General features: G+C 43.6%; 1 long non-coding RNA gene across 1 annotated transcript, besides 1 other annotated feature; it reads right to left on the reverse strand.

The window, feature by feature from the left end:
• Positions 404-10,530, reverse strand: LINC00330 (long intergenic non-protein coding RNA 330). The gene is made up of 3 exons (NR_038433.3): positions 10,309-10,530; positions 5,620-5,930; positions 404-1,905 (listed from the first exon to the last, which is right to left on the reverse strand). It is a non-coding gene; the product is annotated as a long intergenic non-protein coding RNA 330 (long non-coding RNA).
• Positions 429-928: an enhancer, noted in NCBI's record as "H3K4me1 hESC enhancer chr13:45373665-45374164 (GRCh37/hg19 assembly coordinates)". NCBI's record gives its function as "activates a minimal SCP1, AML or CMV promoter by ChIP-STARR-seq in primed H9 embryonic stem cells {active_cell/tissue: H9 hESC(primed)}" and the evidence as "EXISTENCE:reporter gene assay evidence [ECO:0000049][PMID:30033119]".
• Positions 10,531-15,726: the final 5,196 nt, after the last annotated feature.

Consider the following 15,726-nt stretch of genomic DNA (forward strand, 5'->3'; position numbering starts at 1 on the left):
TGTTTTCCTGTTCAGATCTTTATAGTCTCCTATTGTCACTGGTAAACTGAGTTTTTTTCCCTACTTTGTATTGGTAGCAAAGAAAGAACATTAATTGTAAAAAGCAGTCGGATTTTATTCACTAGCCAGAGAAGGCAGAACGCGAACTCTCACTCTAAACGCACCTTCTCCCCGAACAGTAGAAGGCATGGGGTTTCTTTTTTCTTTCTTTCTTTCTTTCTTTTTTTTTTTTTTTTTTTTTTTTGAGGCGGAGTCTTGGTCTGTCGCCCAGGCTGGAGTGCAGTGGCGCGATCTCGGCTTACTGCCAACTCCGCCTCCCGGGTTCACGCCATTCTCCTGCCTCAGCCTCCCGCATAGCTGGCACTACAGGCGCCCGCCACCACGCCGGCTAATTTTTTTTTTGGATTTTTAGTAAAGACAGGGTTTCACCGTGTTAGCCAGGATGGTCTCGATCTCCTGACCTAGTGATCCGCCCGCCTCAGCCTCCCAAAGTGCTGGGATTACAGGCGTGAGCCACTGCGCCCGGCCAGGCATAGGGTTTCTAAGGACTGGGGGAGGCAGGGTGTGTTTGTGGGGGGGTGCATGTAGGGAGGAATGTTAGCCTGTACAGGGTGGGACTCTAGGTGTGCAGAGGCAATTCATAAACTTACGTCTTCATGCAACCCATGTTCACAAAATGGCAGGGAATTTTAGCATTATAATGATGTGTTAATGATCTGAAGGCAACTAGGGGTCGCCAGTTCCAGTTCGTGCCCACTTGTGGGGTCTTAATTCCCTCTAGTATCTGGTCAAGGGTAAAAAAGCTCTGGTGCCATCCCAGGCCATCTGGTTTCTTCAGCAGTTGTGCCTGTAGATAAAGGGACTGAAGAAAACCAGTCAGAAAAAAGGACTCTCCCAGTTATTTCATCATGGGTGCCCTGGTAACAACACCCGGACACCTGGACTACTACAACAAATTTTTTTTTTTTTTTGAGACAGAGTCTCACATTGTCCCCTGGGCTGGAGTGCAATCACACCATCTTGGCTCATTGCAACCTCTGCCTCCTGGGTTCAAGGGATTCTCCTGCCTCAGCCTCCCGAGTAGCTGAGATTACAGGTGTGCGCCACCATGCCCAGCTAATTTTTCGTATTTTTATTAGAGACAGGGTTTCACTATGTTGGCCGGGATGATCTCAAGCTCCTGACCTCAGGTGATCCGCCCACCTCAGCCTCCCAAAGTGCTGGGATTACAGGAGTGAGCCGTAATCCCGTGCCCGGCCTCCAACAAACTTTTAATTACACTCTACTCTCTCCATTTTCATCTTCCTCCAACCTGTTATATTTTACTCAGCAGAAGATTAATCTTCCCCAAAATATCAATTTCATCAAATTGATGCCTTTTTCAAAAACTTCTGTTTTCATTGCCTACAGAATAACGTTATAACTCTGTAGTCAAACCCTGTGATGGGTTTATGCTGAGTTAAATTGGCTAATCTTGGAACTACATTTCCTCAATTCCCTTCCCCAAAGAGTTTCAGGTTAGTGTTGCCCACAAGAGAAAAGCCAAGTATCCACAGGATACTTGGATAGCAGGCAGGAGGGAGCAGCCATTTCCAGGCTCTGAGTGTCAGAATGGTCCCAGCTGCAGTGGCTAACACAGCACGGTGGTCTACAGGCTAGCAGCCTGCAGCTCCTCAGGCTCCTGCCGGGTCCTGTCTTTCAGCTTCTCCAAGTCCAGCGCCAGGTTTTTGTGCAGCTCAAAGCAAAGGGCATCAGTTCTTCTATATGTCACCGTGTCATCAAGGCTGGAGGTGGTGAGAGACAGAGTCAAGTGGTTCTTAAGGGTTTCAGTCCTTGAAGCTCCTTGTTTGCCCTGCTTTTTCCTATTTCCTATCCAGCCTTTCTTCCCGACAGCTGACATCTGACCTATGGAGACAGCAGGTCCAACATCAGATTCAAGAAGCAACAGCCCTGCATAGATTCCTCCACCAGCACCCACGACTGCATCAGGGCTAACCCGTGGAATAAACCACTCTTAATGGTTCCGCTTCTCTGATCAAACCCTGATTATGCCCAGCCACCTCATTTCCCTCTTAATCTCTTCATAGGCATCTCTCTGGTACTCCAAGCAGTTTAATTACCCAGGCATGTTATGTGAGCTCCACCTGGACGCCATTGCTATGGCCTTGTCTTCCACTGACTCACCTCTCCAGTCACCCAAATCTCACGCACAACCTACAAACTCCAACTCAAGTCCTCTCTGCAGCTTCCCTCGACCACTTCAGCCCCTGGTGACCTCCTCCCAGTGACTGGAATGGGGATTCTCAATTTTTCTCATGAGGATACACATGGGAAGTGAGCCCCAGGGTTCTGGCTGCTCCCAACACCAAGTCCCTCCAAGGATCGAAAGGATTAATATCTCAGCATCGATAATCATTTGCATCCAGTTGGAGAGTCTGGTGCAAATCTCTTTTCTGTAATATCAAGTTGGAATTTAAATTATCTTGCAATGGAAAGAGGCAGTGTTACACAGTGACCCAACATAGAGCAAATGAGTTCTGAATTTAAATCTCCACATCAATGACAAGGGGAGCTCCAGATACAAATCACTCGGTCTTTCTAAGCCTCAGTTTCCACAGCTATAAAAGAGAAATAATCATGTCTACTTCACTGCAGTGGTTGTAGAGATTTAATTAGATACTATGGAGCAAGTATACAATGCCTTGCTTATAAAATTGCTAATCATATCTGCTATAATTATTATTGTACATATTTACTGACTAGCCATTAATAAGCTATTTGCAAGAAAATAATTATGTAACATTGTTAAATATTGACCCTGGGTTGGGCATTAGACTAAGCACTTTTCATAACTTCTTTAGTTCTCCAATAACCCTATAAGGTGGGTACCGTTAAAATACTTAATTTGTACGTGAGGACACCTCCACATAATTTTCTTGGCCACAGCAACATAGCGTTTCTCCTACCACCTACTGGGAAGCACACATGTTGCTTCCTTTGCCTAATATAACCCTTTCACAACCTGCCCTAACCCTTATATTCATAATTGTATCCTCCTGACCAGAATGCAATGCTGGGTTCTGGCCAAGAGGGCCCCAGACCAGGGAAGTTGTTTAAAATGAGTCACATAAATGTGCAGGAAGAAACATGTGGTTTTTCCTTCCCTAGTAGGAGAAAGGCTGTTGACTCCAGTTATAGATTGAAGTGGATTCCCCCAAAAGACGCTGAAGTCCTAATCTCCAGTACCTGTGACATGACCTTGTTTAGAAATAGGATCTCTGCAGATGAGCAGGTTAAGATGAGGTCATTAGAGTGGACCTTAATCCACTATGACTGGTGTTCTCATAAAAAATGAAATTTAGACAACAGAAACCTGCATGCACAGTGGGAAGACCATGAAAAGACACAGAGAGAACGCCATCTACAAACCAAGGAACAGTTGAGCCCACGGAAGTGGGGAGAGGTATGGGGCCCATTCCCCCCAACAGGCCTCACAAGAAACCAACCCTGCTGAAACCTTAATTTCCAACTTCTAGTTTCCAGAACCGTGAGACAACAAATTTCCCTTTTTAAGCCACTCAGTGTGTGACACTTTGTTACAGAAGCCCCAGGAAACTAACACAAGTGCTAGTCATCTTTCCAAACCAGAGGCCTCTCCATATTGCTCATGCTTTCCCAGGACGCTGAGCCCCTGACTTTTGGGGAGGAAAATGAACTGATCATTTTTGAGGACACCAGACTCTATATTACACATTCCTCATCCCATTTAGTCCTTAGACAGTCCTAGGACATACTCATTACTCTCCCCCTTTTAGAGATAAGCCAAATGGAGACAAAGAGATGTTCAATAACTGCCCAGCATAAATGATGGAAGTGAGAGTCCAGCCCATGGCTAGCTCCAAAGCCAATGCTCTTTCCAGTATTTCATCCTGTTTCCCCTTCCATTAAGTAGCAGATGATTCAACCTTGCAAATGTTCTTGTCCTCTAACCTTTCTCACCCTGTCTGCACTTCCCAAAGGGGACACTTACCATTGCAGGAAGAAATTGAGAGGCAGAGTATTCCTTAATAAGGCTCAACTCCTAGCCTGTGGTCCCCAGACTTACAGTTTCCCATCTTACAGAGATATTCAAGGATCTCTCAGCTAATTAGACTGATTGCAAAGAATGTCATAAAAGAAAAAAAAGGAAAAAAACGGACTTACAGGATGTCTTTAAAGTTGCAATTTTATTACTCCCAAGTGTACATGAAATATAAAGTAGGCCAACAAAGTGCTGCCTGGGGGAGAATCCTTGAGGAATCTGCTTTAATGAATAAATAAGTGTGTTTTTGAAATTAGCTTTCCATTGTTTATAGTAAATCCCCATGAGAGTTTGCAAGTAGTTGCTTTCTTATTCATGAAAAGAATTTCTCTCTATTGTCTTTCTTACCGTGTTGAGGGGATGGTGATTATTGCGAACTTCAGTTCAGGGAAGGCCACTGATGCAGACCAGCCAGAGCCAAGGTCAAAAGGCAGAAGTAGATGCTGTCAGGCCCAGCCCTGGGAGGGCCCCCACACAGGGAGGGTCAAATGAACCGGGTATCCTTAGGTCACCAGAGATTCAGTCATTGATCCTACCTATTCCGGGAGAACTTCAGAGAAGTTCTACTAGAAGACCTCCTCACCTACTTTGTTGGTAAAAACCAAAATGTTCCTTGACTTAATATATCGATGGGCTTGGACCCAGGTTCCTGTGTGTATCTCTTGACCCTGAACAAATTCTATCTTGTTTGCCACATATGCTGGATGTTTGCAAATCCATCTTAGTCCATTTTGTGCAGCTATAACAGAGTACCCGAGACTAAGTAATTTAAAAAAAAAAAAAAAAACACCAGATTTGGCCAGGTGGGTGGCTCACGCCTGTAATCCCAGCACTTTGGGAGGCTGAGGCAGGTAGATCACCTGAGGTCAAGAGTTCGTGACAGCATGGCCAACATGGCAAAATCCCGTCTCTAATAAAAATTTCAAAAATTACCTGGTCGTGGTGGCGTGCGCCTGTAGTCCCAGCTACTCGGGAGGCTGAGGCAGGAGAATCACTTGAACCTGGGAGGCGGAGGTTGCAGTGAGCCAAGATCATGCCATCACCCTCCAGCCTGGGTGACAGAGTGAGGCTCCGCCTCAAAAAAATAAATAATAAAAATAAAAATAAACAGAGATTTGCTTCTTACAGTTCTGGAGGTTGGGAGGTCCAAGGTTGAGGTGCCTGCGTCTGGCAAGGGCCTTTTTGCTGCCTTATCTCATCGTGAAATGTGGAAAGGAAAGAGAGCAGGAGTGACAGAAAGAGCAAGAGAGGGCTGACCTTGCTTTTATAACAAAACCACTCTTGAAACAACAAGCCCACTCTGAAGATGACAGCATTAATCCATTCACAAGGACTGAGCTCTCATGACCTAATCATCTTAAATGTCCTACCTCTCGACATTGTTGCACTGAGGATTAAGTTTTCAATACACAAATTTTGGAAGACACATTCAAACCACAGCCTCCCCTTCCTCCTGATCCATTCCATTCTCCATTTTTCTCCACCCTGCTCCATGCCTCAGTTCTTAATCTCTAAGAGCTGCATCTTTGGACTCTTACCTTCTGGCTTCCCTTTGGGTTCATCAATGTTCAGGGTATTTATTACCCCCAGATTCTTCAAGGATGGGCCAAGATCAGATTCCAACATCAGATTCCAAGTTCTTCAGCTTTTGGACTTATATCAGTGATTTGCCAGGGTCTCTCAGGCCTTCAGCCACAGACTTAAGGCTGCCCTGTCGGCTTCCCTACTTTTGAGGTTTTGGGACTTGAACTGGCTTTCTTGCTCCTCACAGACACACCCAGGAACATGCCCCAAACCAGTGAGCCAAGGTCGCACCACTGCACTCCAGCCTGGGCGACAGAGCAAGACTCTGTCGCAGAAGAAAAAAAAAAATGTTAATCTCCTTTGGCAACACCCTCACAGACACACCCAACACCCTCACAGACACACCCAGGAACACTACTTTGCATCCTTCAATCCAATCAAATTGACACTCAATATTAACCATCACAAGTAGGTACTCGATAAGTATTTTGGGGGAAAAATGGATTGATGGATGGGCTATTAATTTTCCTTTAGCTCTGAGGTGATTCTGCTCCCCCTTCTCTCTCTTCCTAGCTCCTTCTTTTCCTCCATTCCTTTCTCAAACTTTTGACCCTTCAGGCTTTGGTTATTGATATTGCTCTGAAATTGTCCCCTGCAACTTAGAACTGATAGGATAGTCACCCATCACCTCTTAGACAAAAGTAGGAATTTGACACCTGGAACATCCCAAAACCTGATGCCCCAAACCAGTGTTTGGATTCTTCCTAAAATGTCAGTGGAAAATGTGACACCAGTGGTTGTTGAGATGGGAGACATCAGTGCATGGAAGTCAGCAGACTGATACAGGAGCAGTACACCCCACCCAGCATAAATGGACACAACAGAGAATAAAATGGGCTTGGGAAGGGGAATTCTGGATTCACACTCACCACGCCAGAGAGCTTCTCATTCGGCATTTTAACATGCTGACCCACTGGGATGGAAGATTGTCTCATTTTCTGGACCCATAGTGAAATGATAAAAGAGAGAGGCCAGCTACTCGGGGGCCCTTCCCTACCTAAGGCCACACATGCTGATTCAGGGCATCTGGACAGTGAAAGGTGATTGGACGTTAGCACACATGAAGTCCAAGGTCAGGGATTGGAAATGATCAGCAATATAACCAGGTAGGAACATGTGTTAGCTGGAACTTCTGACCCTCATAAGGGAGAGATAAGAGACCAATAGCTTAATTACTGATAGAAAAGTTGATCTCGATTTCTTTTTTTTTCTTCTTCTTCATTTTATTATTATTTTTTAGACAAGGTCTTGCTCTGTTGCCCAGGCTGAAGTGCAGTGGTGCCATCATAGCTCTCTGCAGACTCAAACTCCTGGGCTTGGGTGATCCTCCCATTTGAGCCTCCCAAGTAGCTGTGACTATGGGTATGCCACCATGCCTGGCTAATTTTTATTTAGTAATCTATTTTGTAGAGACAGGGTCTCACTCTGTAGCCCACGCTGGGGTGCAGTGGCACAATCATAGCTCACTACAGCCTCAAACTCCTGGGCTCAAGCAATCCCCCTACCTCAAACTTCTGAGTAGCTGGGACTATAGGCATGTGCCACCATGCCCAGGGATCTTCATTTCTTTTTATCTTGATTTTTTTCAACATTCTTTTTTTATAGGGGCATTTTCTGTGGCTTTTAGAAGAAAATATATTTGAATCTCAATCCCCTCATATCTTTTTGTTTCTGTTTGCGTTTGACATAAGTATTTGCTGAAAGTCAGGGGCATTCTAGGCTTCCCTGGAGATGGAGGGTCAGAGGACAGGTCCACATTTGGCCTGTCTGCCATCTGTAGCAGGTATACATTAGGAAAAGCAGTCAGCTGAGAGTGAATCGGGCCTGGGTAGCAATTCTGGCTCTGCCACTGTTCACTAGCTGCGTGACCTTCACCTCTTTGCGTCTCAATTTCCACATGACTACAGGGGGATAAACCCTACAGCATAGCTTTGTTGGGAGGATTAAATCAGGCAACACATGCCCAGTACCTAGAATAGTCCCTGGGTCTTAGTAGGCCCTCAGTAAGCAGTGGCCATAAGGATCGCTGGCTGCAAGGCCTCCCTGCATTGGTTGACCACAAAGAACGTGGTGATGGTGCATGATGAAATGAATCGTTTTTGTTTTCCCTGTCCTGACAAAAGATGTCCCCTGGCTCTTGCTGGGTATGAAACAGCCAAAGCAGAATGAGTACTAAGAGCCCCCTTTGTCCCGAGTGAGGCCTCATTTGTCGGACACAAATGCTGCTCTGGCAGTCCTGGATGTCTGGGCCACTGTTACAAATCTGTTTGGGTTGGAGTAGCACCAGTTCACCACTGCCATGTGTCCAAGCTCCCAGGCTGCCTGAGTGCAGCCGTGAATTCATTCAGAGTGGCCCTGCCCTCGGGGCTCTTGTAACCTCGGGCTTTAAATTCGGAGAATCAGCAATTAATTTTCATGACCTTGCTCCTCTCCGAATGGAGATTTCCCAGGGGCCGTGGCCTGCCAGTGGGTAGGATTGACTTCTGGAGAGACTTCCTAGGTTCCAGGAGCCAGCGTTATTGGTGTTGGAAGGGCAAGGACCTGGCAGTCTTCTTGGTAGATGCTCTTCAGAGCCTGATCATCCCACATGTCGGCGGGGGGGAAGCCACTGCCACGGCTTTGTACGTTGTTAAGGAGAAGAAAATGGCGGGGGGTGGGGGGGATAACCAAATTTAATGGATGAATTTATTATGAAGAATTATTTATTTATTATGCTCATTCTGCTCAGACAGACTGCAGGCTTAAAGAAAAGGACAACTGGGAAGCTAATTTCTGGGGCAGAGCCTCAAGCCTGTTAGCAGACACCCAGGCACTTGTGTATGAACCAGTGTCACTCTGTGTGGCTGTGCCTCGCAGTCACACCCATTCTGCTCAGGCAGTCTGGATTTCCACTCTTCTACTTGGGGAGGGGAGAATGATCAACAAGAACAGAACGATGGGCCTATAGAACTTTACTGCAAGTGAACATATGAGCTGTCTTTGTAAATATTCATTTTTTTTGGTGGCAAAATACATATCAAACTTACCATCTTAACTATTTTCATGAGCACAGTTTGGTAGCATTTAGTACACACCCATTGTTGTGCAACCAATCTCCAGAACTCTTCATTTTGCAAAGCTGAAACTCTGCATGCATTAAACAGTATCTCCCCAGCTCCCTCTGTCCCCAGATCCTGGCGACCACCATTCTTCTTTCTGTCTCTATGAGTCTGACTACTCCAAGTACCTCAGATAGGTGGAATCACATGGTATTTATCCTTCGGTGACCGGGTTATTTCACTTAGTGCAATGTCCTCAAGGTTCATCCATGTTGTAGCATGTGTCAGAATTTCCTTCCTTTTTTAAGGCTGAATAATATGACAAGCTGTCTTTTTAAGTTGCAGGTCAATTACGGATCCTTTGAATATGAGAGGGAGCAGGATTGGCCCTTCAGGGTTTGAGGTTTTCAGGAAGCCCACAGAGATTGACTCCTTTTATGGGATTCCATAACCCATATTTCAATGACCCCCTTCACACGCTGCCAGTCAATCAGTGGATTTTTTTCACTGACTATGTTGACAGTCCTGGGCCATGCCTGCCCTTTGTACCAAGTTTTGGGGAAGTCCAGGCCTTGCATCCAGGGGAGAGAGAGGCCCAATCTCAACACAGCTCTGACATTTATTAGTGGTGACATCCTGAGTAAGTCACTTCACCATTGTGAATACAGTGCCTCTGAAGTAAAATGGAGGTGACATTATGAACTCTATCTAGGTTGGGTGGAGATTAAATGAAAGAATATATATTAGAGCACCAGGCATGGTACCTGGTAAGTTCTCAACAAATGGATGTTAAATCTTAGTACAAAGCAAATTAAAGATGAGATTTTTCTTTTGACTAAGCATAGCACCCAGACAGACTAGTGGCGCTCCAACATTTTTTGAGTCAGGGGCTCCTCTGAGGATCACTTACATGCCTACACAACGTGACACTAAATTTCTGGGAATTCTTGAATCTCATGATGTCCATCCATGACTTCAGGCACAAGATCAAGGACCTGGGATCGAGATAGCAGAGGATAAAACATTCCCAGAAAATGTAGATCAGGCCGGGTATAGTATCTCACCACTCTAATCCCAGCACTTTGGGAGGAAAGAGCAGGAGGATTGCTTGAGCTCAGGAGTTTGAGACCAGCCTGGGCAATACAGTGAGACCCTATCTCTACAAAAAGCAAAAAAAAAAAAAAAAAAAAAAAAATTCACCAGATGTGGTGACACACGCCTGTAGGTCCCATCTACTCAGGAGGCTGAGGTGGGAGGATCACTTGAGCCCGGAGGTTGAGGCCACAGTCAGCCAAGATCACACCACTGCCCTCCAGCCTGGGTGAAAAGAAAAAGAAGAAGAAAATGCAGATCATGTTTTATATAGAGTGAAAAAAGTAAGGAACAGAGTCCTGCAAGTGCTAAAGGGACACTAATAGGGAACGCTAACGCAGTCAGGTGGATCCAGTGAGGAATACTTCCTCATGGATATTCAGAAATTTCTCAAGGACTCAGTGTTTACTTTTCATTCTACTGTGAGTGGTTCACCAGTCTTAAGATTTCTCCCTCATTTCCACCCTGGGAAAGCACATGCTCTCGTGCGAGCTACACAATGTAAGCACTTACTTGTGTTTGTCTTGTGCTTTGGCTGATTCGACTGCCGGTGGACCTTCATGCATTCTTCCTCTTGTCGTGTGCTCTGGAGACCCTGTCTGCTGCTGAGTCTCTCCCAGGGCCCCACAGATGCAGCCGTTCCAATGAGATTGTGAGGTAAAGTTGCTCGGGGAATTGTTCTGAACTTTCAGAAATGCCACTGTCCTACAAGGTGGAGTCTGTTCTCAACTGTTTGTTGTTGTTTTGTTTTGTTTTGTTTTGTTTTGATACAAGTTCTAGCTCTGTCACCCAGGCTAGAGTGCAGTGGCGTGACCTCGGCTCACTGCAACCTCCGCCTCCCGGGCTCAAGCCATCCTCCCACCTCAGCCTCCTGAGTAGCTGGGACTACAGACGCACACCAGCACACCCGGCTAGTTTTTGTATTTTTAGTAGAGATGGGGGTCTCACCACGGTGGCCAGGCTGGTCTCGAACTCCTGACCTCAGGTGATCCGCCCGCCTTGGCCTCCCAAAGTGCTGGCATTATAGGTGTGAGCCACCACACCCAACCTGTTCTCCACTGATTTAAAGACACTCCATATATGTCTGTAGGGAAGCTTAGCACAGTGTGGACAAACATAGCCCCGTATTTCAAGGGAAATTTTGTTTTAAGGGCTCAGATGTCTTACCCTATAATTCAACTGCCATCTTCCCCATCGTAGTTATCTCTTTCAAATGCAGGACCACAGTAAACGATGCGGGGAAGCATCCAGGCCTCCTTCTCCCTGCCACACCCTGGCACATTCTCCAGCTAGTCTGGGACATGGGCATCACAAAAGCAGTTCTGCAAGTGCTAGTTGTCATCTCAAGCTGTCTTTCCCTGGCACCATGCCAACTGCTGTTACAGACACCATTTCCACACCCTCCCCTCTGTGGCCTGGTGTGAGCATTTTACTAAATTTCAGTATTCCTTGTCACTACTGCTGCAAGTGTAGCATGAAAGACTTATATGGTAACAAAAAGCCTCTTGTCTAAGCAGACAGGGGAAAAAACATATAGGAAGCCTGATCTTCTAATTGCCCAGGAACTGGCAAGTGACCTTGCTCACCAATTACAGAGCCTTTGATTTAAGTCAAATAGCAAATCTATTAAATCTGATACCTTTGAATGATTTGAGTAGCCATGCTGTTATAAACTACTTTAAAATGGCAGTAATCTGAAGAATCTAGAGGATGATAAGAAACACGTCTACTCACACGGCCAGAACAAATAACAGAAATGGCCAAAAAATGCTAAGCCTTCCAAACCCAGAACCAAACCCAGATAGCATTGACTGAAAGGATTTCTACTCTTTTTTCCTCCAATAATCTTAATTCCAGCAAAGCCAAGTCTCCTCAGTGACAAGAAAAATAAGTCAGGGTGTATTTTCTTGTTGGCTTTTGCTTTTAAAATAGCACTTTTCTCCTAATTACAAAATCCATTTATGCTTCATGGGGAAAGCTTGGAAAACAAAAACACAACAGATTCAAGGTCACTTTAAGATCTTGCCAGGACTACTTCAGGCATTCTAATGTATGTCTCTTTTATATTTAAATAGATTTTTTTTTACAAAAATTACATGTTTATACATAAAGTCTTTTGGTCACTGATCTATTTATTTTACTTAGCAACATATTATAAATATTTTCCATACCAATTGATATTTTCTTTAATATGTTGTCTAGCAGCTACATACAGTTCTGTCATTTGGATGTATTGTAATCCTTTATTTATTAAGTCATAAGTAAGGCTTTGATGGACATCTTTGAATGAAAATCTTTAACTTCATCTCTGATTACTCTTAGGATAACCTCCTAGAAGTTTACCTTCTGTTATTAATACATGCCCATGTTTTTAATCAGCAGTCTTCAAGTTCATCCTTTGATTCTACTTACTTAGGAGTCATTTCACCACCAAACAATAACATGAATATAGATGCCAAAACAAAAGGAATGAAAATGCCTCCAGTAGACCCAGAAACATGTTAAAGATTGAAGCTGTTCGTTAAGGAAAGCTTTAAGGCCAGACCAGAGATGAGCTATTTCCTGAAACATCAAATAGAGAAAATGAGCTGATGTCAACAGAGAGATTCAAGAGAAGTTACTATAACACAATTTCAAATTAAATTTCCAACACTTCCAGAAATAAGTGTCACTGAGGAAAGTTAGAAAAGACACGGGCACACTGTGCAAAAACAATGTATTGCTTGCAGTGATAATAAATAAACTTCCAATATTTGTAGATCAGCATGTCAAAGATAAAATGGTTGGTAATATGAGTCACATCTATTTTATTTTCTATCTGTGTTATGGCTGCATACATTTAAAGAGTGAGATAACTTTACAAAGTTTATTATGAAAAATAACAGTGGTCCCACCCAGTTGCTCTCATTTTCTCCTTGTCAGAGGCAACCATTTTTCACATCTTTTTAGCCATTATCTTGGCATTTACCTCCATAATCCTAAATAGTTTATTTATATGCTTGTTTTTACCCAATACTTTTCTGGTTTTTTGTTAAATCAATTGAGAGTACTTCTTAATTTTTCTTTTTTTTTTTCTGAGACAGAGTCTCCCTCTGTTGTCTAGGCTGGAAGGCAGTGGAGCCATCTCGGCTCACTGCAGCCTCAACCTACCAGGCTCAAGTGATCCTCCCACCTTAGCCTCCCAAATAGCTGGGACTACAGGCATGCATCACCATGCCTGGCTGATTTCTTTTATTTGTTTGTTTATTTTATTTGTAGAGACAGGGTCTCACCAGCTTGCCCAGGCTAGTCTTGAACTCCTGGGCTCAAGCAATCCTCCCACCTCAGCCTGTCAAAATGCTGGGATTACAGCACCCTGCCACTTCTTAATATTTCTTAGATGAAATCATTACACTTTGACTTTCCACTGTGGAAGATGAGAATTTAACTCTATTTCCACTAGCATCAACACACACACACATCCTCTCAATATAGTTATCTATCAATCTATCTGCATGTGCATGTGTGTTGTATAATCTTGGTTAGATCAATAACCAGTGATTACATTATTATAATAATACTCTCTGATTACTTTTCTGTACAATTCTGTTTTCCCTGGAATTAATGATGATTGTTTTCTCTGTTGGTTTAGCTTTGTAATGGCAAATATGTATTTGCCATTGAGTCAACTTCAACCTTTCCATCTAGTCAAGAATTATTTAAAGACATTCAACTGTCTAAATCAAGACATTCTGATGCATTAACTGTTCTGCGATTTTTGCCTGGAAGTCATCTCTCCTAGAAATGCTGATGGCTCCAATTTAATCTGGTACACAGATCAGACTGTGCCTGGTACACAGCTGCCTCACCCTCATCCTGAGGGGGCCTTTCGTGTTAGACCTCCTGTTTTCTAAAACTCATGTCTTCCTTTTTCTTGATCAATTATCCCAAAATTATCAATTATCAAGAAAAAGTGCTTGGGAATTAAACATTTTGAGATCCAGAAAATGTTTTTGTGCTCCCCTCTCACTTGATTAATATTTGACTGAAAATAGAATACTAATCTAAAAATAACTTCAATAGCCTCATAATTTTAGGTGGCATCGATCCATTGCTGTGTAGATTTCAGAACTGTTGCGAAACACAAAGACCTTCACATTTCCAGTCCTTTGTAAGTAGCTTGGTTTTCCCCTCTGGAAGCCCATAGGATCTTCTTTTGGTTTTAAGTGGTCTGAAAGCTCTTGATTCGGTACCTTCATGTGGTGTTATTTTCCCTGGTTGTTCTGGATGTTTCATTCTGTGAAATCTTCTGACTGAGTGTTTATTTTCATTCCCTCTGTTTTTGCAGTCTTATCTTTTCTCTTTTCCCTCATTTCTGTTTTTATTTTTGTTCCACTTTGAGATAACTTTATCTTCCAAAACCTCTTGTTGGTTTTCCATTTCAGCTGCAGTGCTTTTAATTTCTAAAAGCCCTCTTTTATTCCCTTGATTTTTTTAATAGCAAAGCAGCATCTTGTTCGTGTTTCATGGATGCTTTCTCTGAGAATTTAATTATATTTTTAAGTAGTTTTTCTTACATGGTTTCTGTTTCTCCAATTTGTCTTTTGCTATTTGTTTTTGTTTCCATCTTTATTTTTAGAGGCTCACCTCAAATGCCTAGTGACCCCTGATTGTCTGCTCATGTTTAAGAGCAAAGCCTTAAAATTCTGATTGGAAGCGGTCAACACACGGATGGGGCTTATTGAATGTGAGCTTAAGTGTAAAGTGACCAGGTTGGGCCATTCCCTTAGGGAACCTCTGACATTAGTATCTTTAGGTCTTTCCTCTTGAATTGGGCAAATTCCCCAGAGAAGAACCATCTGGTCTCTTGCCTGGAGGTTAGAGGCCTGGCTGTCAATATTATGGGAAGAGGACTGGGGGTCAATGCCCCTGTATCCTTTTTGTTAACTGTGCCTAGTGTTCCCCAGGACAGAGACCCCCTCCTCTTAGTACTCAGTCCAGAAAATAACACTTATCTCCTGCTGGGAGTGGTGAGAAGCAGCCCCTGGTCTACAAAGAGCAGGCAAAGCTATCTAGAGATCTAACTGCCTCTTGACTAGACTTTTCATCAAGAGTCTTGTTTCTAGTCTCACCTTTAAACCCATTTCCATAGATACTTGTGTCATGGATTCCTGAGCCTTTGGGTACCTTTGTAAAATTGCTGGGCTTTTTTTTTTTCTGACTATTGGCTAGGATTCTGTCCCCTCAGGTCAGCCAAATTGATCAACACTCATCCATCTGCTTACTAGTTTCCAAAATTTGTTGCTGTTATCTTTTTATTCCTGTTGGAATTATATCATCTAAAAAACAATGTCATTTAATTGGGGTTTCAAAGGAAGAAACTCCTGCATGAACTCCTGGAAGCAGGGAATACTTTTAAGGAAGAGAAAACAAACAGTAAAACTATTACCACAGAAGTTCAAAGGGTGATATGCTGAGGGGAGGGTAAGAGTACAAGGAAAATATCCCAAGCTTAGCGCTTTCTCCTAAAGTGTGCAAGCGGAATGCAACTGAACCCAGAGAAAGAGGGAGCTCCTCACAACAGTAGAAAACCAGATTGGGAGGAAGCTTTGTAACAATTGGTGATTTTATCTGCCCCAGCCAATGCACACCTACATTTGAATGTAGGTGAATTTCTGAACCAATGCCTTGATAGGTGTATATTTGATAGGCGTACCTTTGAATGTAGGTGAATTTCTGTACCAATGACCCTCGTGATGTTATCACTCTCATTCTTCAAATGAAGCAAAAGGCCCAAGAAGGCAAAGTAACATATCCATGATTACAGCGATCATCAGTGACAGGGTCAAGATGTAAACTCTTGTCTTTCTGATACTAAACTTATGTCCCTTGGCCATATTGATCATGTGGCACTCACAGGCCATATTGCTAATATTGCACTTGAGAGTGACC

The sequence above is a fragment of the Homo sapiens genome, chromosome 13 (genome assembly GCF_000001405.40).
Source record: "Homo sapiens chromosome 13, GRCh38.p14 Primary Assembly".
In the NCBI taxonomy this organism is placed as follows: Eukaryota; Metazoa; Chordata; class Mammalia; order Primates; family Hominidae; genus Homo; species Homo sapiens.